This window comes from Homo sapiens, chromosome 12 (assembly GCF_000001405.40).
Source record: "Homo sapiens chromosome 12, GRCh38.p14 Primary Assembly".
NCBI classification, from domain to species: domain Eukaryota; kingdom Metazoa; phylum Chordata; class Mammalia; order Primates; family Hominidae; genus Homo; species Homo sapiens.
In genome coordinates this window covers 12396948-12424297 of record NC_000012.12, presented here as the reverse complement: position 1 = coordinate 12424297, position 27350 = coordinate 12396948, and the positions used below count along the sequence as shown (strand labels likewise).

Genomic DNA, 27350 nt, shown 5'->3' with positions numbered 1-27350 from the left:
AAAGAATGAGTGAATAATGAGTACAATGAATACTATCTAGTCTGAGGAACAGAAAGAAAAAAGATTAAGGAAAAGTGAACTGATCTAAGGGATTGATGAGACACCATCAAGTGGATAACCGTATGCATTGTGGGAGTCCCAAAAGGAAAACAGAAAGAGAAAGGGAGAGAAAACATCTGAAGAAACAATGGCCAAAAACATCCCAAATTTGATGAAAGAGATGAATACAAACATCCAAGAAGCTCAACAAACTCAAAACAGGATTCAGAGACCCACACCAGGACACATTATAATCAACCTTTAGAAAGGGCCAGGCACACTGGCTCACGCCTGTAATCCCAGCACTTTGGGAGGCCAAGGTGGGCAGATCACTTGAGGTCAGGAGTTTGACACCAGCCTGGGCAACATGGCAAAACCCCATCTCTACAAAAAAATATAAAAATTAGCCAGGCGTGGTGGCAGATGCCTGTAGTCCCAGCTACTTGGGAGGCTAAGGCAGGAGGATCATCTGAGCCTGGGATGCAGAGGTTGCAGTGAGCTGAGATTGCACTACTGCACTCTAGCCTGGGTGACAGACTGAGACTCTGTCTCAAAAAACAAACAAAAAGACAACGAGAAATTTGAAAGCAGCAAAAGAAAAACACCTTATCACATAAAAGGGAACCTTAATAAGATTATCAACAGATTTCTCATCAGAAACCTAGGGGGCCATAAGGTGGTAAACTGCTAAAAGAAAAAAAAACAAAAAACAAAAAACCTGTCAACCAAGAATTTTATATCCAGTAAAACTATCCTTCAAAAATGAGGGAGAAATTAAGCGTATCAGTCAGGAAAAAAAAAAAAAAAAAAAAAAAAAAAAGCTGAGGGAGTTTCTTAATACTAGACCTGCCCTGCAAGAAATGCTAAAGGGGGTCCTGCAGGTTGAAATGAAAGCACACTAGAGAGTTGAGTGAAGAAATAAAGATCTCAGTAAAGGTAAATATATGGCAAATTATAAAAGCCCATGTACTGTTCATGCCTGTAATCCCAGCACTTTGGGATGCCAAGGAGGGTGGATCACGAGGTCAGGAGATTGAGACCATCCTGGCTAACACGGTGGGACCCCGTCTCTACTAAAAATACAAAAAAATTAGCCAGGCGTGGTGGCGGGCGCCTTTAGTCCCAGCTACTTGGGAGGCTGAGGCAGGAGAATGGCGTGAAGCCGGGAGGCGGAGCTTGCAGTGAGTCGAGATCACGCCACTGCACTCCAGCCTAGGTGACAGAGTGAGACTCCATCTCAAAAAATAAAAAAATAAATAAAAAATAAAAAAAAAAAAGCCCATGTATTTACAGGGGTTTTTGTAACCATGGTTCGTAACTCTTTTGTAACCATGGTTTGTAGCTCCACTTTTGGCTTTCTGCGTTAAGAGACTGATACATTAAAAAAAATTAGTCTAAAAGCTAATGTTATTGTAACTTTAGTTTATAACTCCATATTTTGTTTTTTTACATAATTTGAGAGATTACTGCATTAAAAAAGTATTAGTTTATATTTTGGACACACCCTGTATAAAGATATTATCTTGTGACATTAACAACTGAAAGGGATGGAAACTAAGCTGGAAAGGAGCAGAGTTTTTCTATGTTATGAAAGTTAAGCTGTCACTGCTCTGCCTCTGGAGGTCATTCCTTATTCTTTTACTTTTTTTTTTTCTTTTGAGATGAAGACTCACTCTGTTACCCAGGCTGGAGTGCAGTGCCACGATCTCGGCTCACTGCAACCTCTGCCTCCTGGGTTCAAACGATTCTTCCAAGTAGCTGAGACTACAGGCATGTGCCACCACGCCTGGCTAATTTTTGAATTTTTAGTAGAGATGGGGTTTCACCATGTTGGTCAGGCTGGTCTTGAACGCCTGACCTCAGGTGATCTGCCTGCCTGGGCCTTCCAAAGTGCTGGAGTTACATGCGTGAGCCACCGCATCCGGCCTCCTTCACTTTCTTAATAAACTTGTTTTCACTTAAAAAAAAAAATAAAAGAAAAGAAAGCTAAGCTGGTATAAATTCAAATTATTGTGTTACCACGTTAGGATCTTAAATATAATCCTCATGATAAGTGCAAAGAAAACAGCATAAGCACTAAATGCCCACAAGAGAAAGCAGGAAAGATCTAAAATCGACACCCTAATATCACAATTAAAAGAAGCAAGAACAAACAAATTCAAAAGCTAGCAGAAGGCAAGAAATAACTAAGATCAGAGCAGAACTGAAAGAGACAGAGACATAAAAACCCTTAAAAAAAATCAATGAGTCCAGGAGCTGGTTTTTTGAAAAGATCAACAAAATTGATAAACCACTAGCAAGACTAACAAAGAAGAAAAGAGAGAAGAATCAAATAGACACAATAACAAATGATAAAGGGAATATCATCACCGATCCCACAGAAATACAAACTATCATCAGAGAACACTATAAACACTTCTACACAAATAAACTAGAAAATCTAGAAGAAATGGATAAATTCCTGGACACATACCCCCTCCCAAGACTAAACCAGGAAGAAGATGAATCTCTTAATACACCAATAATAGGCTCTGAAATTGAGGCAATAATTAATAGCCTACCAACCAAAAAAAGTCCAGAACCAGAAGGATTCACAGCCAAATTCTACCAGAGGTACAAAGAGGAGCTGGTACCATTCCTTCTGAAACTATTCCAATCAATAGAAAAAGAGGGAATCCTCCCTAACTCATTTTATGAGGCCAGCAGCATCCTGATACCAAAGCCTGGCAGAGACATAACAAAAAGAAGAGAATTTTAGACCAATATCCCTGATGAACATCGATGCGAAAATCCTCAATAAAATACTGGCAAACCGAATCCAGGAGCACATCAAAAAGCTTACCTACCACGATCAAGTCGGCTTCATCCCTGGGATGCAAGGCTGGTTCAACATACACAAATCAATAAACGTAATCCATCACATAAACAGAACCGACCACAAAAAACACATGATTATCTCAATAGATGCAGAAAAGGCCTTCAACAAAATTCAACAGCGCTTCATGCTAAAAACTCTCAATAAACTGGGTATTGATGGAACGTATCTCAAAATAATAAGAGCTATTAATGACAAACCCACAGCCAGTATCATACCGAATGGGCAAAAACTGGAAGCATTCCCTTTGAAAATCGGCACAAGACAAGAATGCTCCCTCTCACCACTCCTATTCAACACAGTGTTGGAAGTTCTGGCCAGGGCAATCAGGCAAGAAAAAGAAATAAAGGATATTCAATTAGGAAATGAGGAAGTCAAATTGTCCCTGTTTGCAGATGACATGATTGTATATTTAGAAAACTCCATCATCTCAGCCCCAAATCTCCTTAAGCTGATAAGCAACTTCAGCAAAGTCTCAGGATACAAAATCAGTGTGCAAAAATCACAATCATTCCTATACACCAATAACAGACAAACAGCCAAATTATGAGTGAACTCCCATTCACAATTGCTTCAAAGAGAATAAAATACCTAGGGATCCAACTTACAAGGGATGTGAAGTACCTCTTCAAGGAGAGCTATAAACCACTGCTCGATGAAATAACGAGATAAAAGAGGACACAAACAAATGGAAGAATATTCCATGCTCACGGATACAAAGAATCAATATCATGAAAATGGCCATACTGCCCAAAGTAATTTATAGATTCAATGCCATCCCCATTAAGCTACCAATGACTTTCTTCACAGAATTGGAAAAAACTACTTGAAAGTTCATATGGAACCAAAAAAGAGCCCGCATTGCCAAGACAATCCTAAGCAAAAAGAACAAAGCTGGAGGCATCATACTACCTGACTTCAACTATACTACAAGGCTACAGTAACCAAAACAGCATGGTACTGGTACCAAAACAGAGATATAGACCAATGGAACAGAACAGAGCCCTCAGAAATAACACCACACATCTACAACCATCTGATTTTTGACAAACCTGATAAAAACAAGAAATGGGGAAAGGATTCCCTATTTAATAAATAGTGCTGGGAAAACTGGCTAGCCATATGTAGAAAGCTGAAACTGGATCCCTTCCTTACACCTTATACAAAAATTAATTCAAAATGGATTAAAGACTTACATGTTAGACCTAAAACCATAAAAACCCTAGAAGAAAACCTAGGCAATACCATTCAGGACATAGGCATGGGCAAGGACTTCATGTCTAAAACACCAAAAGCAATGGCAACAAAAGCCAAAATTGACAAATGGGATCTAATTAAACTAAAGAGCTTCTGCACAGCAAAAGAAACTACCATCAGAGTGAACAGGCAACCTACAGAATGGGAGAAAATTTTTGCAATCTATCCATCAGACAAAGAGCTAATGTCCAAAATCTACAAAGAATTCAAACAAATTTACAAGAAAAAAACAAACAACCCCATCAACAAGTGGGCAAAAGATATGAACAGACACTCCTCAAAAGAAGACATCTAAGCTGCCAAAAAACACATGAAAAAATGCTCATCATCACTGGTCATCAGAGAAATGCGAATCAAAACCACAATGAGATACCATCTCATGCCAATTAGAATGGCAATCATTAAAAAGTCATGAAACAACATGTGCTGGAGAGGATGCGGAGAAACAGGAACACTTTTACACCGTTGGTGGGAGTGTAATTTAGTCCAACCATTGTGGAAGACAATGTGGCAATTCCTCAAGGATCTAGAACTAGAAATAACATTTGACCCAGCCATCCCATTACTGGGTATATACCCAAAGGATTATAAATCATGCTGCTATAAAGACACATGCACACATATGTTTATTATGGCACTATTCACAACAGCAAAGACTTGGAACCAACCCAAATGTCCATCAATGATAGACTGGATTAAGAAAATGTGGCACATATACACCATGGAATACTATGCAGCCATAAAAAAGGATGAGTTCATGTCCTTTGCAGGGACATGGATGAAGCTGGAAACCATCATTCTCAGCAAACTATCACAAGGACAGAAAACCAAACACTGCATGTTCTCACTCATAGGTAGGAACTGAACAATGAGATCACTTGGACACAGGGCGGGGAACATCATACACCGGGGCCTGTCAGGGAGTGAGGAGCTGGCGGAGGGATAGCATTAGGAGAAATATCTAATGTAAATGACGAGTTGGTGGGTGCAGCAAACCAACATGGCACATATATACCTATTTATCAAACCTACACTTTGTGCACATGTACCCTAGAACTTAAAGTATAATAATTTTAAAAAAAGAAAACAGCTATATAACATACACAAAAGGGAATGAGAAAGGAATATAAATGTTTCACTGCAAAAAATCAACACAGAAGACGACAGCAATACAGAAAATGACAAACAAAAAAAAGCTATAAGGCATCTAGAAAACTAATAGCAAAATGACAGAAGTAAGTGCCACTGTATCAGTTAAGTACTTTAAATGTATATGGATTAAACTCTCCAATCAAAAGACAGGGATTGACAGAATGGATTAAAAACCTGATCCAACTATATGCTTGTCTACTAGAGACTCAATTTACATCTAAATACACAAACAGGCTGAAAATGGATGAAAAAGATATTCATCCAAATAGTAACCAAAAGAGCTATACTGAAAGAGAGTCTCACGCTGTTACCCAGGCTGTAGTGCAATGGCATGATGATAGCTCACTGTATCTTCGAATTCCTGGGCTCAAACAATCCTCCTGCCTTAGACTCCCAAGTAGCTGGGACTACAGACATGCGCTATCACACCTGGCTAATTTTTAAATTTTTTTGTAGAGATGGGGGTCTAACTATGTTGCCCAGGCTAGTCTCAAACTTCTGCCTCAAGTGATCCTCCTGTCTCAGCCTCTCAAAGTGCTGGGATTATAGGAGTGAGTTACTGTAGCTGACCAAAATAGACCTTAAACTGAAAGCGGTTACAAGAGACAAAGGACATCATATATTAATAAAAGGTTCAGGCCGGGTGTGGTGGCTCACGCCTGTAATCTCAGCACTTTGGGAGGCCAAGGTGGGCAGATCACGAGGTCAGGAGATTGAGACCATCCTGGCAACACAGTGAAACCCCATCTCCACTAAAAAAACAAAAAAAAAAACAAAAAAAAAATTAGCCAGGCATGGCGGCAGGCACCTATAGTCCCAGCTACTCAGGAAGCTGAGGCAGGAAAATGGTGTGAACCTGGGAGGCAGACCTTGCAGTGAGCTGAGATTGCGTCACTGCACTCCAGCCTGGGCGACAGAGTGAGGCTCCGTCTCAAAAATAAATAAATAAATAAATAAATAAATAAATAAATAAATAAATAAATAAATGGTTTGATATAGCAAGAAGATAAAAAAAAAGAATTATAAATATTCAAATCAAGTGTGGTGGCTCATGCCTGTACTCCCAGCACTGTGAGAGGCTAAGGCAGGTGGACTGCTTGAGCTCAGGAGTTCGAGACCAGCCCAGCCAACATGGTGAAACCCCATCTCTACTAAAAATATAAAAATTAACTGGGTATGATGGTACTAGTCCTACCTACTCAGGAGGCTGAGATGGAGGATCAATGAGGAGGCAGAGGTTGCAGTGAGCCAAGATCTCGCTACTGCACTGCAGCCTGGGTGACAGAGTTAGACCCTGTCTCAAAAAAAGATTTAAAAATTATAAACATTTATACACCTAATGAGAGACCATCAAAATTTGTCAAGCAAACACTGACAAAATTGAAGGGAAAAATACTTCAATAATAGCTGGAAGTCTCAATATCCCACTCACAATAATGACTAGAACCACCAAACAGAAGATAAGTAATAAAGTAGAGGACTTGAACACACAACAAACTGACTCAACTTCACAGACAGACAGAATAATGTACCTAACAACAGAATACACATTCTTCTCAAGTGTACATGGGACATTTTTCAGGATAGGCCATATGTTAGGTCACAGATTAAGTCTCAAAAGATTTCAAAAGATAGATATTATACAAAGAATCTTCTTCCACCACAATAGAATGAAGTTAGAAATCTACAACAGAAGAAAAACTGGAAAATCCACAATTTGTGGACGGTAAAGAACATACTAAAACAACCAACAGATCAATGAAGAAAACACAAAGGACACTGAAAAAAACCTAAAGGTGAATTAAAACAAAAACACAATATACCAAAACTTATGAAATGCAGTGAAAGCAATGCTAAGGGGGAAATTTATCAATGTTTACATTAGGCTGGGCAGGATGACTCACACCTGTAATCCCAGCACTTTGGGAGGCCAAGGCGGGTGGATCACTTGAGGTCAAGTGTTCAAGACCAGCCTGGCCAACATGGTGAAACACCACCTCTACTAAAAAAAAAAAAAATACAAAAAGTAGCCAGGCATGGTGGCGCCTGCCTGTAATCCCAGCTGCTCTGGAGGCTGAGGCAGGAGAATTGCTTGAACCCGAGAGGCAGAGGCTGCAGTGAGCTGAGACTGTGCCACTGCACTCCAGCCTGGGCAACAAAGCAAGACTCCATCTCAAAAAAAAAAAAAAAAAAAAGTTTACATTAAAAAACAAGAGTTGGGTGCGGTGACTCAAATCTATAATCCCATCTACTCAGTAGGCGGAGGTGGAAGGATCGCTTGAGCCCAGGAGTTCGAGAAGAGCTTGGGCAACCTAGTGAGACTCTGTCTCTTTAAAAAAATAAGTAAATAAATAAAAATTAAAAATTAGCCAGGCATAATGGTGTGTGTCTGTAGTCTCAGTTACTGGGAGGCTGAGGTAGAAGAATCACTTGAGTCCAGGAGTTCGAGGCTACAATGAGCTATGATTGCACCACTGCACTCTAGCCTTGGCAACAGAGTGATACCCATCTCTAAAAAATAAAATAAAATAAAAAATAAAAAGAAAGATCTCACACCAGCAATCTAACTTTACAACTTAAGGAACTAGAAAAACAAACTAAACCCAAAGTTAGCAGAAGGATAGAAATAAGAAAGATTAGACCAAAGATAAATAAAATAGAGAATAGAAAAAAAAATAGAGAAAATCACCAGCACCAAAAGTTGATTCTTTAAAAAGATAAACAAAATTGACAAACCTTTTGCTAGAGTAGAGGAACTAAGAAAAAAGAGAGACAACTCAAATACTAAAACGAGAAAGTGTGTACATTAATACCGATTCTATGGGAATAAAAATGACTTTACAAGGTACTATGAGTAATTGTACAGCAATAAATTAGATAACCTAGGTGAAATGGACAAATTCCTAGAAACACAGAACTAGAACCTACCAAGGCTAAGCCACATAGAAACTCTGAATAGACCTATAATTAGTAAGGAGATTGAATACATAATAAAAAAATCTCCTGATAAAGAAAAGCCCTGGAACTGATAGTTTCACAGGTGAGTTCCACCAACCATTTAAAAGAACTAACATAAACCCTTTTTAGACTTTCCCAAAAAATTGAAGCAGAGAAAACACTCCCTAACTCATCTATGAGGGCAGCATTACCCTGATTCCAAAGCAAGACAAAAACACTACAAGAAAAGAAAACTGTAGACCAATTTACCTTACAAACATTGATGCAAAAATCCCAAACAAAATCCTAGTAAACCAAATTCAGGAGCATATAAAAGGATTATACACCATGACCAAGTGAGATTTATTCCTGGAACACAAGGATGATTCAACACACGAAAATCAATCCACGTAACAGCCTATATTAGAAGACTAAAGGGAAGAAAACCACAAAATCGCCCCTCCCCCTCCCCCTCCCCCTCTCTCCACGGTCTCCTTCCACGGTCTCCCTCTGATGCCGAGCCAAAGCTGGACAGTACTGCTGCCATCTCGGCTCACTGCAACCTCCCTGCCTGATTCTCCTGCCTCAGCCTGCCGAGTGCCTGCGATTGCAGGCGCACGCCGCCACGCCTGACTGGTTTTCGTTTTTTTTTTGGTGGAGACGGGGTTTTGCTGTGTTGGCCGGGCTGGTCTCCAGCTCCTAACCGCGAGTGATCCGCCAGCCTCGGCCTCCCGAGGTGCCGGGATTGCAGACGGAGTCTCGTTCACTCAGTGCTCAATGGTGCCCAGGCTGGAGTGCAGTGGCGTGATCTCGGCTCGCTACAACCTCCACCTCCCAGCCGCCTGCCTTGGACCCCCAAAGTGCCGAGATTGCAGCCTCTGCCCAGCCGCCACCCCGTCTGGGAAGTGAGGAGCGTCTCTGCCTGGCCCCCCATCGTCTGGGATATGAGGAGCCTCTCTGCCTGGCTGCCCAGTCTGGAAAGTGAGGAGCGTCTCCGCCCGGCCGCCATCCCATCTAGGAAGCGAGGAGCGCCTCTTCCCCACCCCCATCCCATCTAGGAAGTGAGGAGCGTCTCTGCCCGGCCGCCCATCGTCTGAGATGTGGGGAGCACCTCTGCCCCGCCGCCCTGTCTGGGATGTGAGGAGCGCCTCTGCTGGCCACAACCCTGTCTGGGAGGTGAGGAGCGTCTCTGCCCGGCCGCCCCGTCTGAGAAGTGAGGAAACCCTCTGCCTGGCAACCGCCCCGTCTGAGAAGTGAGGAGCCCCTCCGTCCGGCAGCCACCCCGTCTGGGAAGTGAGGAGCGTCTCCGCCCGGCAGCCACCCCATCCGGGAGGGAGGTGGGGGGGGTCAGCCCCCCGCCCGGCCAGCCGCCCCGTCCGGGAGGTGAGGGGCTCCTCTGCCCGGCCGCCCCTACTGGGAAGTGAGGAGCCCCTCTGCCCAGCCAGTCGCCCCGTCCAGGAGGGAGGTGGGGGGGTCAGCCCCCCGCCCGGCCAGCCGCCCAGTCTGGGAGGTGAGGGGCTCCTCTGCCCGGCCGCCCCTACTGGGAAGTGAGGAGCCCCTCTGCCCAGCCAGCCGCCCCGTCCGGGAGGGAGGTGGGGGGGTCAGCCCCCCGCCCGGCCAGCCGCCCAGTCCGGGAGGGAGGTGGGGGGGTCAGCCCCCCGCCTGACCAGCCACCCCGTCCGGGAGGGAGGTGGGGGGGCCAGCCCCCCGCCTGGCCAGCCGCCCCGTCCGGGAGGTGAGGGGCGCCTCTGCCTGGCCGCCCCTACTGGGAAGTGAGGAGCCCCTCTGCCCGGCCAGCCGCCCCGTCCGGGAGGGAGGTGGGGGGGTCAGCCCCCCGCCTGGCCAGCCGCCCCATCCGGGAGGGAGGTGGGGGGGTCAGCCCCCCGCCCGGCCAGCCGCCCCGTCCAGGAGGGAGGTGGGGGGGGTCAGCCCCCCGCCCGGCCAGCCGCCCCGTCCGGGAGGGATGTGGGGGGATCAGCCCCCCGCCTGGCCAGCCGCCCCGTCCAGGAGGTGAGGGGGGCCTCTGCCCGGCCGCCCCTACTGGGAAGTGAGGACCCCTCTGCCCGGCCAGCCGCCCCGTCCGGGAGGGAGGTGGGGGGGTCAGCCCCCCGCCCGGCCAGCCGCCCAGTCCGGGAGGGAGGTGGGGGGGTCAGCCCCCCGCCTGACCAGCCACCCCGTCCGGGAGGGAGGTGGGGGGGCCAGCCCCCCGCCTGGCCAGCCGCCCCGTCCGGGAGGTGAGGGGCGCCTCTGCCCGGCCGCCCCTACTGGGAAGTGAGGAGCCCCTCTGCCTGGCCAGCCGCCCCGTCCGGGAGGATGGTGGGGGGGTCAGCCCCCCGCCCGGCCAGCCGCCCCATCCGGGAGGTGAGGGGCGCTTCTGCCCGGCCGCCCCTACTGGGAAGTGAGGAGCCCCTCTGCCCGGCCACGACCCGTCTGGGAGGTGTGCCCAGCGGCTCATTGGGGATGGGCCATGATGACAATGGCGGTTTTGTGGAATAGAAAGGCAGGAAGGGTGGGGAAAAAACTGAGAAATCAGATGGTTGCCGGGTCTGTGTGGATGGAGGTAGACATGGGAGACTTTTCATTTTGTTCTGTACTAAGAAAAATTCTTCTGCCTTGGGATCCTGTTGATCTGTGACCTTATCCCCAACCCTGTGCTCTCTGAAACATGTGCTGTGTCCACTCAGGGTTAAATGGATTAAGGGCGGTGCAAGATGTGCTTTGTTAAACAGATGCTTGAAGGCAGCATGCTCCTTAAGAGTCATCACCACTCCCTAATCTTAAGTACCCAGGGACACAAACACTGCGGAAGGCCGCAGGGTCCTCTGCCTAGGAAAACCAGACCTTCCCTCCACTATTGTCCTATGACCCTGCCAAATCCCCCTCTGCGAGAAACACCCAAGAATGATCAATAAAAAAAAAAAAAAAAAAAGAGTCATCACCAATCCCCAATCTCAAGTAATCAGGGACACAAACACTGCGGAAGGCCGCAGGGTCCTCTGCCTAGGAAAACCAGAGACCTTTGTTCACTTGTTTATCTGCTGACCTTCCCTCCACTATTGTCCCATGACCCTGCCAAATCCCCCTCTGTGAGAAACACCCAAGAATTATCAATAAAAAAAAAAAAAAAAAAAAAAAAAGAAAACCACAAAATCATTTCAACTGATGCAGAGAAAGCATTTGAGAAAATTCAACACCCTTTCTTGATAAAAACAAACAAATAAAACACTCAACAAACAAGGAATGGAAGGAGACTACCTCAACATAATAAAAGCCATATAAAAGAAATGCAAGCAAACTTCATATTCAATGGTGATGACCTGAAAGCTTTCCCTCTAAGATCAGGAATAAAGCAAGGATGCCTGTTTTCACCACTTCTATTCAACATAATAATGGAAGTTCTGTCAAGAGCAATAAGACAAGAGAAGAAATAAAAGGCATCGAAATTAGAAAGAAAGAAGTTAAATTATGTCTGTTCACGGATGATATGATCTCATATATAGAAAACCTGAATGTTCCACAAAAATACTATCAGAACTAATAAATAAATAAATTCACCAAAGTGGCAGGATACAAAGTCAACATGCAAAAATCAGTTGCATTTCTATTCACTAATGAACAATCCAAAAAGGAAATTAAGAAAACAATTCCATTTCCAATAGCATCAAAAAGAATAAAACACTTAGGAATAAACTTAACCAAGGAGATGAAAGACTTGTACAATAAAAAAAACCATAAAATACAGCTGAAAGGAATTAAAGAGGACACATACAAATGTTAAGACACCCCATAGTCATTGATTGGAAGATTTAATATTAAGATGTCAATATTACCAAAAGTGATTTACAGGTTCAATGCAATCCCTATCAAAATCCCAGTGACTTTTTTTCAGAAATAGAAAGATCCATCCAAAAATTCATATGGAATCTCAAGAGATCCTGAATAGCCAAAACAATCCTGAAAAGAAGAACAAAGCTGGAGGACTCACTCTTCCTGATTTCAAAACTTAAAATTACAGTAATCAAAACAGTGCAGCATTGACATAAAGACAGACAAATGGACCACAGAAATGAGCAGAGGGCCCAGAACAAACCCTCACATATAAAGTCATATGATTGTTGGGGGCACCAAGACCATTCAGTTGGGAAAGGACAGTTTTTTCAACAAATGCTGCTAGGAAAGCTGGCTATCCACATGCAAAAGAATGAGGTTGGACCCTTACCTACTACCATATACAAAAGTTAATTAACAATGAATCCATGACCTAAATGTAAGATCTAAAACAATAAAACGTTTAATGTTTTTTACTATAGTTTCCTATAGTGAGAAAACGCAGGCAAAAGTTTCATGACACTGAATTGGGCAACAATGTTTTAAGTATGACACCAAAGGCACTGGCAACAACAAAAAAAGATAGATTGGACAATGAAAATTTTAAAACTTTATGCATGAAAAGATACTATCAACAGAGTAAAAAGGCAGCCCACAAAATGCAGAAAATACTTTCAAATCATGTATATTTTATTATATACATTTATTATATACATGTATATTATATCCAGAATATATAGAGAATTCCTAAAACCCAACAAAAAACCTCAAACAACCCAATTCATAAATGGGCAAAGGACTTGAACCGACATTTCTCCAAATAAGAGATACAAATGGCCAATAAGCACATGAAAGAACCAATGTGATACGGAATGGACAAAAACTGGAAGCATTCCCTTTGAAAACGGGCACAAGACAGGGATGCCCTCTCTCACCACTCCTATTCAACATAGTGTTGGAAGTTCCGGCCAGGGCAATCAGGCAGGAGAAGGAAATCAAGGGCATTCAGTTAGGAAAAGAGGAAGTCAAATTGTCCCTGTTTGCAGATGACATGATTGTATATCTAGAAAACCCCATGGTCTCAGCCCAAAACCTCCTTAAGCTGATAAGCAACTTCAGCAAAGTCTCAGGGTACAAAATCCATGTGCAAAAATCATAAGCATTCCTATACACCAATAACAGACAAACAGAGCTAAATCATGAATGAACTCCCATTCACAATTCCTTCAAAGAGAATAAAATACCTAGGGATCCAACTTAAAGGGATGTGAAGGACCTCTTCAAGGAGAAGTACAAACCACTGCTCAATAAAATAAAAGAACACACAAACAAATGGAAGAACATTCCATGCTCATGGGTAGGAAGAATCAGTATCATGAAAATGGCCATACTGCCCAAGGTAATTTATAGATTCAATGCCATCCCCATCAAGCTACCAATGACTTTCTTCACAGAATTGGAAAAAACTACTTGAAAGTTCATATGGAACCAAAAAAGAGCCCGTGTTGCCAAGTCAATCCTAAGCCAAAAGAACAAAGCTGGAGGCATCATACTACCTGACTTCAAACTATACTACAAGGCTACAGTAACCAAAACAGCATGGTACTGGTACCAAAACAGAGATATAGACCAATGGAACAGAACAGAGCCCTCAGAAATAATGCCGCATATCTACAACTATCTGATCTTTGACAAACCTGAGAAAAACAAGCAATGGGGAAAGGATTCCCTATTTAATAAATGGTGCTGGGAAAACTAGCTAGCCATATGTAGAAAGCTGAAACTGGATCCCTTCCTTACACCTTATACAAAAACTAATTCAAGATGGATTAAAGACTTCAATGTTAGACCTAAAACCATAAAAACCCTAGAAGAAAACCTAGGCAATACCATTCAGGACATAGGCATGGGCAAGGACTTCATGTCAAAAACACCAAAAGCAATGGCAACAAAAGCCAAAATTGACAAATGGGATCTAATTAAACTCAAGAGCTTCTGCACAGCAAAAGAAACTACCATCAGAGTGAACAGGCAACCTACAGAATGGGAGAAAATGTTTGCAACCTACTCATCTGACAAAGGGCTAATATCCAGAATCTACAATGAACTCAAACAAATTTACAAGAAAAAAACAACCCCATCAAAAAGTGGGTGAAGGATATGAACAGACACTTCTCAAAAGAAGACATTTATGCAGCCAAAAAACACATGAAAAAATGCTCATCATCACTGGCCATCAGAGAAATGAAAATCAAAACCACAATGAGATACCATCTCACACCAGTTAGAATGGCAATCATTAAAAAGTCAGGAAACAACAGGTGCTGGAGAGGGTGTGGAGAAATAGGAACACTTTTACACTGTTGGTGGGACTGTAAACTAGTTCAACCATTGTGGAAGTCAGTGTGGCGATTCCTCAGGGATCTAGAACTAGAAATACCATTTGACCCAGCCATCCCATTACTGGGTATATACCCAAAGGATTATAAATCATGCTGCTATAAAGACACATGAACACGTATGTTTATTGCAGCACTATTCACAATAGCAAAGACTTGGAACCAACCCAAATGTCCAACAATGATAGACTGGATTAAGAAAATGTGGCACATATATACCATGGAATACTATGCAGCCATAAAAAATGATGAGTTCATGTCCTTTGTAGGGACATGGATGAAGCTGGAAACCATCATTCTCAGCAAACTATTGCAAGGACAAAAAACCAAACACCATATGTTCTCACTCACAGGTGGGAATTGAACAATAAGTGTCCATGTGTTCATGGACACAGGAAGGGAAACATCACACACCGGGGACTGTTGTGGGGTGGGGGGAGGAGGGAGGGATAGCATTTGGAGATATACCTAATGCTAAATGACGAGTTAATGGGTACAGCACACCAACATGGCACATGTATACATATGTAACAAACCTGCACGTTGTGCACATGTACCCTAAAACTTAAAGTATAATAATAATAAAATAAAAAATAAATAAATAGATAAAAAGAATTCCTGACATCCCTAATCATTAGGGAAGGGCAATTCAAAACTAAAATGAGATGCCCCCTCACACCCATTAAGATGGCTAGTATCAAAAACAAACAAAAAAAAATGATGGCAAAGATGTAGAACCCTTACTCACTATTGGTGGAGACGTAACATGGTATAGCATAGCCGCTGGCGAAAGGGGTGTGGTGGTTCCTCAAAAAATTAAATGTAAAATTACTATATGATCCAGCAATTCCACTTCTGAGTATATACCCAAAAGAATCAAAAGCAGGGTCTCAAAGAGACATTTGTACACTCATTTTCAAAGAACATGATTTACAATAGCCAAAACATGGAAACAATTCAAATTTCCATCAATAGAAGAATGGATAAGCAAAATGAGGCATTCCTTAAAAAGGAATTCCCTTTTAAGACTGAATAATATTTTTCTATATATATACACATGTGGTATTCAGCCTTTAAAAGAAAATTCTGACCTATGCAACAACATGGGTGAATCTTGAGGACATTACACTAAGTGAAGTAAGCCAGTCACAAGCAAACACTGAATGATTCCATTTATATGAAGTACACAGAAAAGTCAAAATCATAGAGAAAGAAAGTAGAACAGTGGTTACCAGGGCTGGGAGGAAGAGAGGATAGGAAGTTGCTGTTTAACGGATATAGAGTTTCAGGTTTGCAAGATGAAAAACATTCAGGAAATGGACAGTGGTGATGGTCACACAACAATCTCAATGTACTTAATACCACTGAACTTATACTTAAAAATAGTTACAGTGGTAAATTTCATGTCAAGTGTATTTTACCACATTGTGGGTAATTACAAGGGAGGAAAAAAAATAAACATAGAATTACCACATGACCCAGCAATTCCACCTCTGGGTATGCACCCAAAAGAACTGAAAGCAGGGACTCATACAGATATTTATGTATCAATGTTCACAGCAGCATTATTCACAATGGCCAAAGTAGAAACAACCCAAATGTCCATCAATGGATGAAAGGATAAACAAAATGTGGTATATACACATAATAGAATTCAGCCTTAAAAAAGAGAATGAAATTCTGGTACATGCTAGAATACAGATGGAACCTGAAAAAATTGTGGTAAACTGAAGTATGCCAGACACAAAAGGACAAAAACTGTATGATTCAATTTACAAGAAACATACAGAATAGTAATATTTGGCCAGGCGCGGTGGCTCACACCTGTAACCCCAGCATTTGGGAGGCCGAGGTGGAAGGATCCCTTGAGCCTAGGAGTTTGAGACCAGCCTGGGCAACATGGTGAAACCCCGTCTCTACAAAATATACAAAAATTAGCCAGGCGTGGTGGTGTGCACCTGAGGTCCCAGCTACTCAGGAGGCTGAGGCGGGAGGATCACTTGAGCCTGTAAGGTAGAGGGAGGTCGCAGTGAGCCAAGATCGTGCCACTGCACTCTAGCCTGGGTGACAGCGTGAGGCCCTGTCTCAAAAAAAAAAAAAAACAAAAAGAATAGTAAAATTCATGGCGAAAATAAGTAGAATAATAATGTTTGTCAGGGCTGAGGGTAGAGATTGGGAAATTACTATTTAATAGACTTCAATTTGGGATAACGGAGAAGTTCCGGAGATGGAAGGTCATGATACTGCACAACAATGTGAATATACTTAATGCCACTGAATTGTACACTCAAAAAGGATTAAAATGATAAATTGTATGTTATACATATTTTACAATTACAAAGTCAGGTATGTTGATTTTAATTTTTGCTAAGCAAAAATATTCCACAATACCCCTCTAATAAGAAGGCCAAAAAAAAAAATGTGACCAACAGGGAACAAAATGAAAACTATAAAAGGATAAACAAAGGAAAGAATAAATTCCATTTCCTTCCCTGAAAATGGAGAGAATTGAACCAGGTTTTCTTCCAAATGTAAACTCTGAAAATTTTATGTTTGTAAGGGAAGGGGGATGAAGGATTCTTCTATAATGACATACCATGTTTCTTTTAACACAGGATCAGGACTACTTCAAAATTATTTGCAAAAAGGAATATATTCAAAGTGAGAAGGCCCTCACTCTTACTGTGAAAATAAACATTACAAACATTCACAATTCAGATGAGAAAATCTTTCAACAGCTCTCACTGAGTGAAGGCAGAAAGCCCACTTTGTCCCACTTGCCTGGAAGAATGAATGCCATCCTGGAAGAACAGGCCACTTGGGTGCCCCCCACACTTCAGCAGCTGGTGCTCACCAGACCTAGGTGCTCTCCACTTGTTGAAACATCAATAACCCAAAAACCTTAGCTTTCCAGACAAAGCAGGATGGATGGCTGCAGCACTCAGGGATTCTTTCCTTCCCAAAAGAGCTTGCTTTAAGGAGCTGAAAGTGTTCTTTTTATTTAAAAAAAAAAAGGTGTTTAACACATGCTCACAGTAGTTTGAAGTATACACAGGTTAGAAATGTAGGCTTTGCAAGGCGCACCAAGACTGATTATAAAAGAGGGGAGGTTATTTTTATATGGTTAACAGCAATCACATTAGGGACCTGACACGTTTTTTTTTTGTTTGTTTGTTTTTTGGTTTTTTGAGATTTTCAGCAAGATAAACCATAGGTCCACTTTAAATGAAAATAAATAAAATATCAGAAAAGGATGCAAGAAAAAAATCTGAAATACTAATGCCAGGACTTTTCTTGCTCAAAGGGGTAACCCTTCTTGCACGTGTTAACTCATCATGGGTTCCTTAGCTCCAATGGGTAATGGGAAACAGGATTGTTTACACTGGAGAAGACGCCCTGATCAGATGGAAAGTTCTCATTTAGTAGTAGCCTAAAAAGTTGAGGCAATACTTATAGCAGATAATTGCTAAGAACAAGATCAATTTCAGAAAAAACTAACTTTTCCACACACGAAGTCTACTAATAAGGAAAATAATCTCAACTTCTACTCAGTTTATATCCAATTAAAAGAAAATATAAACGAAGTATTTCTTTCACAGAGAGTTAAGACACAATGAGTTGGCAATAAAGCAAATTGCCACCCACTCCAGACTGTAAATAGGGGGCAAATGTTGCAAAATAGGGCCTTCCATGAAGTACATTCCTTGGTGACAGCAGTTTCTGTAAAACAGTTTCCAAGGGAGCAGTAGAAGCAATCCCTGTGGCAAAGTCCGGTCACCAATGCCAGCCAGCATTGTTTGCCGTGCAAGGCACGGCAGGTACTTGGCAGTGGCTCAGTTCTGTGGCATGATCTTGGCCATTTTACTTGGCTAGGTAGCCCAAAACACGATTCTAGAGCTCTTCTGCTGATTCTGTGAGCTATCCACATTCCTTTTAATAATTTCTTTATCTGCTTAAATCAGCCAGAAAAATCTGACCAATGTACTTAACTTCAGTTTCTGTATTAGTAAAAGAGGAATAGCACTATATACCTTGAATGTAGCTCAGAGTATTAATTGATAATACATGTTAAAAATCCTTTGGAAAACAATAAACAACATTATTATAATTTACTAAAATTTAACTACATGCCAGGCACTATATAAAACACTGTATTTCAAGAATAAGAAAAATAATGCCTAATATTAATGATGGCACTCTCTCAGCCAAGCACTGTGCTAAGCATGTTCTGTATTTTGTCTTAATTGTCAGGATGACATTAAAAGGCAGGTAATCCCCTATACTAAGTAAGTAAAGTAAAAATAATCATCATAATAAAAAAATCACAGTGATGGAAATAAGTGCTAGAACTAACAGAAAGAATAATGTTATCAATTAATGATTTTTGGTGACAGAAATATTACTGCACCTTGAGGGAGATAATACAGTAGCCAAACCATGAAAGCTCTAGAGTCACCAATTCTTAAAATTCTAGTGTCAATGATTTGGCAACTTACTTGAGGAGTTCATTTAAAATATCATTTTCCTCTTAATTCAGGCTTAAGACAGTTTTTGCTTGGTTGAGATGTGGTTATACTTTAGAATCAAGATGTTTTCAGTAGCAACACAGCTCATTTATGACTAAATCTTTACCTTTATGGGTTGTCTCTCTGGAACTCACTTCGTTGAAGGTTCACTTTCGGCATTTACCATAGAACCCTTCTTCTGTATTATTGTTGACATTCCTGCTCTCTCTTCCCAGTTACTCAGTAAGGTCCTTAAGGGAAAAAGTGTGTATGGTGCCTCGTAGACTTACACAAAGTAGTTCTCTGGCCGGGCGCGGTGGCTCATGCCTGTAATGCCAGCACTTTAGGAGGCCGAGGTGGGTGGATCACTTGAGGCCAGGAGTTTGAGACCAGCCTGGCCAACATGGTGAAAGCCCATCTGTAATAAAAATACAAAAAAATTAGCCAGGTGTGGTGGCGGGCACCTGTAATCCCAGCTACTTGGGAGGCTGAGGCAGGAGAATCACTTGAACCCAGGAGGCAGAGATTTCAGTGGGCTGAGATGATGCCACTGCATTCCAGCCTGGGCAACAGAGACTGTGTCACAAAAAAGAAAACAAAAAACCAAACCAAAACAAAAAAGTAGTTCTCCACAGACTGCTGTTGGACATGCTGAGGAGTGCTCCTATGTGGATGAGTTCTGAAACATACTATTGGTGCTTGCTATGGTTTGAATGGGTCCCTTCCAAAATGCAGGTGTTGCCAATGACAGTAATAGGAGGTGGGGCTTTTAAGAGGTGGTTAGGCCATGAGGGCTCCTCTCTGGGTAAATGGGATTAGCTGCCCTTACAAAAGGGCTCAGCAGGGGAGTTACTCCTGTTTTTTGCCCATTCTCCTTCTGCCAGTTGAGGGCAGAGTGTTCATCCACTCTAGAAGACGCAGCACTCAACAAACCTTAATCTTGAACTTCCCAGCCTCCAGAACAGTGAGAAATAAATTTCTGTTCTTTATAAATTACCCAGTCTCCAGTATTTTGTTATAAATGGACCAAGACAGTGCTCCCTTGGGCCTTGGCTAAAGATCTCTAATTTCCAAGAGGCTCAAGTGCCTAGTTCCTCCATTTCATTTCCCCCAAGCAAAGTTCTGAATTTAAATTTATTTCTCACCCGGAGCAAAAGACGCACATTCTGTTCACATCTCTCCAAATAAATGAGCTCATTTCTGTTTCTGAAGTAAATTTACGTCACCCATATTTGAAGATATGGGCTCTTCTTGTGCAAGTACTGAATGAGCCCTTATCTATAAATCACTTGCCTTCAGCCTTTTGAAGAGTCTACAAAGGCAGTTATACGGAACTACAAGATAAAAGTGATACCAAAGGTCAACAAAGCCAAGGATTAAACTTTGTTCCTTTCCTCTAGCAACTAGGAAAAAATACACAATATATCCTGCCATCAGTAAGTCAAAGCTTGATTGATCTAGGGTAATTAAATCATATAATCTAGCAAGTCCACTCCTTGGTTCTCTGACCAGGGCATCACATTCAGAGATAACATATCTGAATACTCATGTGACCATAAACACAAAGATTCCAATCCCAGGGCTGAGGGAGGGAATGGGTTTCCACGTTCCAAGTCCATCAAGCGTGTACATCACAGCCTTTGTTGAAGATACCTCAGTCATAAAAACTCAAACCTTTCTCCCTGTTTCTAAAGCACACAGCTGTGAAAACATGCTCCTTTATGGAACATGTTAGTTGATAATACTCGGGAAAAAAAAGTATGTAATTAATTGTTACCCTTTCCTCATCTCCTGCTTCAGTTTCCTCAGAAGCAGGAAGGTGCCCCCCACAGCGGACTAGGGAGATATGGGGCAATCACAGAAAGGAAATCCTTGGTGTGCCCAAGCCACGGGGAAGAGCAGCTGGGATTGCCACAGAAAAGCCAGCAGAAGCAACAGACCTCTAACAGTGAAACAGCCAAATAATCCAACATGAACATATTTTGAAGAGAAATATCTTTGATTTTATGATGCAATTAAGTCAGGGAGACAGATGTGCAAACTAGTTAAATATACAGGTTTTAGAATTAGATCTGAGTTTAAATCCTAGCTCTGCCCTTAATAGCTGTGTGACAGGAAAGGTCTTTCATCTCTCTGAGCCTCAGCACCCTCATCTGCCAAATGAGGAAAATACCTACCCTAATAGGTTGTACAAGGATTAAACGAGAAAATACATGTAACACTTTTGTGCAAAAAAAAAAAGGGAAATGTGGTTATTATTAACGAAAAAGTGGGACTGTGTATACTCAAGCCACTGCTTCTATTCAATTTCTAAGAAATAATAATGAGTAGTACCTAAACACTTTGGAAGTTTTCTGGGCACCAAGTATAAAACTATGTGGAAAGTTTTTCTATCCTACCAACGTTCACGTATACAACTTTCACTATGAAGACGTGATAAAGCTAAATTATACCTTAGAAGGAAACAAAGACTTTAAAACATGTTTGTTTTCATGTTAATTACAGTAGAAGCTAATAGAGAAATAAAGTTCAAATACTTCTGGAATTATTTTTAGGGAGACTTTTGTTTAAAAACAAGTTAAAGAACAATTGAAGGTGACAGGGAATCAAATTTGGACTTATGGGAAAAAGGGGAACTCAACTACTCAAAGATGTTCCATAACAGAGCAGATTTCCTTATATGACAACGAGCTGCTTCTGATCAGATGTTGAGCAAGTCAAGGTTAAAAGTCTACTTCAATGAGATATTCCACAAAAGACCCTCAATTCAGGAACTCTGCAGGAAGCAGAATATTGGATAAAACTCTTGAACACTACAACACACAACCAACTCTCTGGTGTCCACAGTAGGGCAGAATTTCCCTCTAATAATCATCCCTAATTAGAGAAGGGTCTCCAAATTCAGGTAAGAGACAAATTTGCCACTCAATTCAAATATGACAGAAGCTGAATTCACGAATCTCATGATCCTTAAGCATGTTGTTTTGCTCTCTCAACTCTTTTTTCTCCCTTGATGCCCTGCTTTTATCAGCTATCCAATCTAATTCCATGAATAGTTACTGGCTTCTAGAAATCTATCCCAAAGAAACAAACTCAGATGAAATTTATGCACCAAGATTTTGTACTCCAGTATCATTTTAATACCCAAAATGTCCTCCAATGGGAGAATGATTAAACTATATTTATATTTACAAAAAGAAATGTTATCCAGCTGTTTACACTTTTTTTTTTTTTTTTTTTGAGACGGAGTCTCGCTCTGTAGCCCAGGCTGAAGTGCAGTGGCGCCATCTTGGCTCACTGCAAGCTCCGCCTCCCGGGTTCACGCCATTCTCCTGCCTCAGCCTCCTGAGTAGCTGGGACTACAGGCGCCCACCACCAAGCCCAGCTAATTTTTTTGTATTTTTTTTTTTTAGTAGAGACAGGGTTTCACCATGTTAACCAGGATGGTCTCGATCTTCTGACCTCGTGATCCGCCCGCCTTGGCCTCCCAAAGTGCTGGGATTACAGGCGTGAACCACCGCTCCTGGCCTTAGATGATGTTTTCAAACAATATCCAATGACATGGGAAATGCCACAATAGAATTTTAAGTAAAATTGTGATATAAAATGACAAATTTTAATTATAAAGTAAATGTATACTTTACATAGGTCTACACTAGAAGGAAAAATATAGCAAGTTATTAACAATGGCTATGTCTAGGTAGAATTTTTAATTTTCTTTTTTGTCATTTTGTTTTCCAAGTTCCTTAAAATAATCATATATTCATTTCGTGATCAGAAAAAAAATTATTAAAAAAATAAATATGGCAAAAAAGCTATGTTATAGTTATCTTGGATTTGTAACTCAGAAATCAAAACAATTCTTTTAAAAGGAAGAAGCATGGTATAAGAAAATTAAGTTTGCATCTGACCCTATGTTTGAGATGGTTGCTAAGCACGATGTTGTCTTTAAATTAATCAATAAGCAAGGAACAGCTGGGACAATATCCGGTTTTACTGAGGATGTGGAACAACAGGAACTCTAATATATAGCTAGTAAGGCGATAAAAGAGCATAACTACTTTGAAGAGTAAATTGACTGTATCTAGTAAAGCTGAAAATACATGTGCCCTACTAGACAGCAATTTGTTCCTAGTTACATACCCTAGAGAAAACTCTCATACATGTGCAAAAGGAGACATGTACAAAGATGTCCACTGCAAAACTGTTTAATAGTAAAACAACTGGAAACAACTCAAATATTCACTAATAAGTCAATGGATACACTGTGAAATATTCATTTGATGGAATACTACGCAGCAGTGAAAATAAGTGAGACATATATCAACATGGATAAATCTCAAAATTATAAGGAAAAGAAAAAAGAAAGTTACACAAGTAGCTGAAGGATACATATAGAACACAACTTATATAAAGTCAAAACAAGTGAAAGAATATTCTACACCGCTTAGATATACAAAAACATGTAGGAAAAAGACAAGCCACGAAGAAAACACATGGGCATGATGAATGCCAAAATCAGATCAATAATTCCCTGTGGAGTGGGAGGAGGAGGGAATATCAGGGAAGGATATAAAGGATGGGGAGGGGGCGTTGTTTATTTGAAACGTGTATTTTTCTTCCTGCAGGGAAAGAGATCTGAAGCAAACATGGCAAAATATTAAAATATGACAAATTTGATGAATACACAGGTGTTTGCTATTTTTTTTTTTTTTTCTGTATGCTGACATACTGCAAATGAAAAAGAAATTCTAGGTAGCAGCTGATAATCTCTATGGAGGACAAGGCATCCTATCCACAGCAGTTTCTTAAACCCTGCTGGGTCTAAGGCCCCTCTGCAAAGCTGATGGAATCTATGGCTCCACTTCCCATGGGGTTTATTATGCTACCACCACTCCACCCTTGGTCACCTCAGGAGACATTCAGGAAAACCCATGCCCACTCTTTTGTCATGTGGTTGACCGAGGTAATTTCAACTCTTGCTAAGAGTTACCAAGGCCAGACAATTAGACAGGGAGAGAGCGTGAAACATTGGCTGCTCAGAGAAATAGCCTGTGATAAAAACAAGATTTTCACTGAATCAAGGCTGCCAGGGTAACAACTAGTGAAAAAGCTAAAAATCCAGTGGTACACATGCAACTGAATGTTTTCAAACCAACTTAAAAGGTAGGGGAAGCATTACGGAAAACATTCTTCAACTTAATTCAGCCTTGGTGCGAAGCCAAGGTTCTAAGTAGTGACTGACAACAAAGATTAGTGGGATTTGTTCATACTTCTCAAAATTTTCCTCTATTTGCACATCTTATTTAATAACATTTAATTTGGTTAATTTTTAGCAAACATTTGGCTAATGTCTATGCTTAGCTTTTCCAATAAAGCACTGTGTTATTTTCAGAAAGTCCAGATGAGTGGAAAACAATGACACTTTGAGTTACTGACTCAGTTAATAAAACCTAAGGGAAAATGGCTGCTGAGACTTAGAAGTCATGACGGAAACAACTGGTGACAGTACACCTAAATTACTGGCTAAGCACCTAGAAGGACACAGTCTTTGGCAGGACAGGCTTAAAAGATTGAAACCTACAAAGGGACATTAAATACTATTAATTCAACATGTATGTGAAGGTCTTTAACTGCTGTAATTATCTCAGAGGGTTTTTCTTTTAGAAGTTCTAGATCTGTGGTACTCAGAATTGTCCCCAAAATGCCAACATTGTAAGCTTAACAATGCCATGTAAAATCTCCTGTTTCTTTGTTATGGTCTTTCATTATCTCCATTGTATTCCATCTTTATATTCCAATCCAAATCTTTTATTCATGCCTGCCTCTTCCCTGTCCTCTCTTATTTCCCCTCTACCTTACCTGCAACCCTGACCTCCACCCCAGGCTGCCTCTTGAAAATGCAGAGCAACCACCCAAAGAGCTGGAGAGTGAGTGTTGATTTGGGGAACAATAGTGGGCTACGTAAGAAACCCTTTTGCAATTCACCTTTTTTTTTCCTTCCCTCCATCCAATTTTTCCAAACTTTTTCCCCCAATACTGTTGTTTTTCCCTGAAATTCACTCTGAGGAGTGAATAGGAGTGATAGGTTGAATGAAACCTATGCTACAGTATAAACACACAACTTCTTAAAACTTTCCAAGATCTTTATGCTAAGGAACAACAAAGAAAACTGTGCTGCTTAGTAATACTGTAAAACACATACTGTTTTAGCCCCCCTGAAACACACAGAGGTAATCTGGAAGAAGGAAGGCCTCTCCTGGCCATCGCAGAGACTGGGGCACCACTGGCAATTCAGTGGGCAGGGACAAAAATTGCCAATACACGGCAGTGACACACAATAAAGGCTGGCCCACCCAAGATGCCAGTAGCACCCCAACCGTCTCTCCCACTCTTATTATGATACACTGGACCACAGACACTCATGTAGCCAGATAACTCCAACTAATTTCAATAAATAGTTGGCTAATCTTGACATTTTCTGCCTTGTAGGAAAAGGTAAAATCAGCTATCGATTGGGCTGCCTGAATTCCCAATATCGCACAGATATCTGGGAAGGGGGAGGCAGGTGGTGGCACAAGGTCTGCACAGTATTGCCTCCTAGTGTTTGGAAATTCTCATTAAAATGACCATATTTTGAGTTTGATAGCACTGTATTCCAGAGACTTCTTCACTCATCCTTGATGCAGCATTATATTGAGCCAAAAGAGCTACAGGGGCCATTCTTCCCTGAAAATGAGTCAAGATGGTTACACAACCCTCCGCAGGGATCTGCACACAACGGCCCTCTGAGGGTGTGGGGGAGGACATGGTAAACATCTCTCCCCTTCATCAGCTCATGTTCTGACTCAGATTTTTCCTGACAAAACAAACATGGCTTTGATTACATATTAATTATTTTTGTAGCAAGCAGCTCATTCTCACATTCCTTCTCCTGCTCATTTTCCCTCCATAATTCTTTACCCTTTGCCCACAATCCCTCCTCCCAGTCATGTTGTACTATTTGTATGGAAAAAAAAAATTTTAAAGAGTTGCTTCTTGCCAAGTGTGACATCAACTCATTCTTATTTAGTGATGTCCCGCAAGAACTTGCTCTCCCAAAACGTTTGCTCAGTTTTGAGGCAACAAGATTACTCACTGCATTGTTTTCCCTGTCACTTGTTTTTGATGCATTAGTGCATCTTCTGAAACAGATGACATAACACCTAATTTCTATGACCCAAAGCGCTATACACATGTATACAAGCATCTTTTCAGACAGCTTCAGGAAGACAAAGCATTGCTCCTAACTTACTAAGAAGGAAAAAATAACACTATAACAAGATAACGATAATTTTAACCTCCCTGAAAAAGCTCTCTCTGCTTTCGGTAACAAGAAACAGCTATATGATAGTAAGGAAAATGTAAGCCCCAAATTCCATTCTAGGTGAAGAGCTTTGGTTACTTAGAGGAAAGAGAAGAGGAAGATGAAGAAGGAGTGACCCCTAAAATAGTAGGACAGACATATTACACTACTTCACGCTTAACACTTCTTAGCAAGGCACTTCTTAATGAATGCTCTTGGAAAATCAATAATTTTATTCTACACATAAAATAAGCCAAAGTTTAGAATTATTTTCAGTTAGCTCACTGAAAAAACTGGCGGTGGTATTCTTAAAATGTGTTCGACAATGATGGAATTACCAGACTATGTCAGGTACCGATCTTCTCTCATCAAAGTCTTCTTTAAAACTCTTTCCATTCCACTCCTCTGTTAATTAAAAGGTACAAGTGGGAATGATATTATTCCCTAGCTCTCCTTCCTTCAGGGAACAATATTAGCAGCACAGCAGACTTAATTATCAGAATGCAGAAGCGAATTCCCAGCGTAGGCTGTTCCTGGGCACAAATGCCAGTTCTGTCACATTCCAGTACTGGCTGACCAGGATGGCACTGAGGAACCTCAGCACGTACAAAAAACTGTGTAACAACTTGAGCATGTTCCTGGTCATTCTCTAGGATGTCGGCATTTTGGGGTTTCCACTGTCACCCTAGGGGAATCAGTTTAGATCCAACGCACCTAGAAATACTTTAGGACAGGGCATTCAAAGCTTGGGAGTCTAGGTGGACATCTAGCCTGTTCTGGGGAGTTCCAAAGTTCTCAAAGATATAAGGTTTCAAATAAACTAGAGAAGGAACAAGACAACACATATCCTCCTAGGGAACTGCAACTATTTAACAAAAACAAGGCCAAAAAGTCCATAGAGAGAAAGAAGAAAATCACAGGTTTGTGCTGCTGTCTGTGTGAGGGTGCACATGCGTGCATGTGTATTTTAGGTTAGCTGGAAAAAGACAAAGGAAAAGGCCTTGAAAGTTGTA

At 41.3% G+C, this 27350-nt stretch overlaps 1 protein-coding gene across 6 annotated transcripts in view, besides 1 other annotated feature; it reads right to left on the bottom strand.

The window, feature by feature from the left end:
* The window catches only part of BORCS5 (BLOC-1 related complex subunit 5), a 114156-nt gene that overhangs the window by 46936 nt on the left and 39870 nt on the right, over positions 1 to 27350 (bottom strand). The window lies entirely within an intron of this gene.
* Positions 16413 to 16602: a silencer, noted in NCBI's record as "fragment chr12:12560630-12560819 (GRCh37/hg19 assembly coordinates)". NCBI's record gives its function as "represses an EF-1alpha promoter that drives an FKBP-Casp9 reporter gene in an ReSE screen in K562 erythroleukemia cells {active_cell/tissue: K562}" and the evidence as "EXISTENCE:reporter gene assay evidence [ECO:0000049][PMID:32094911]".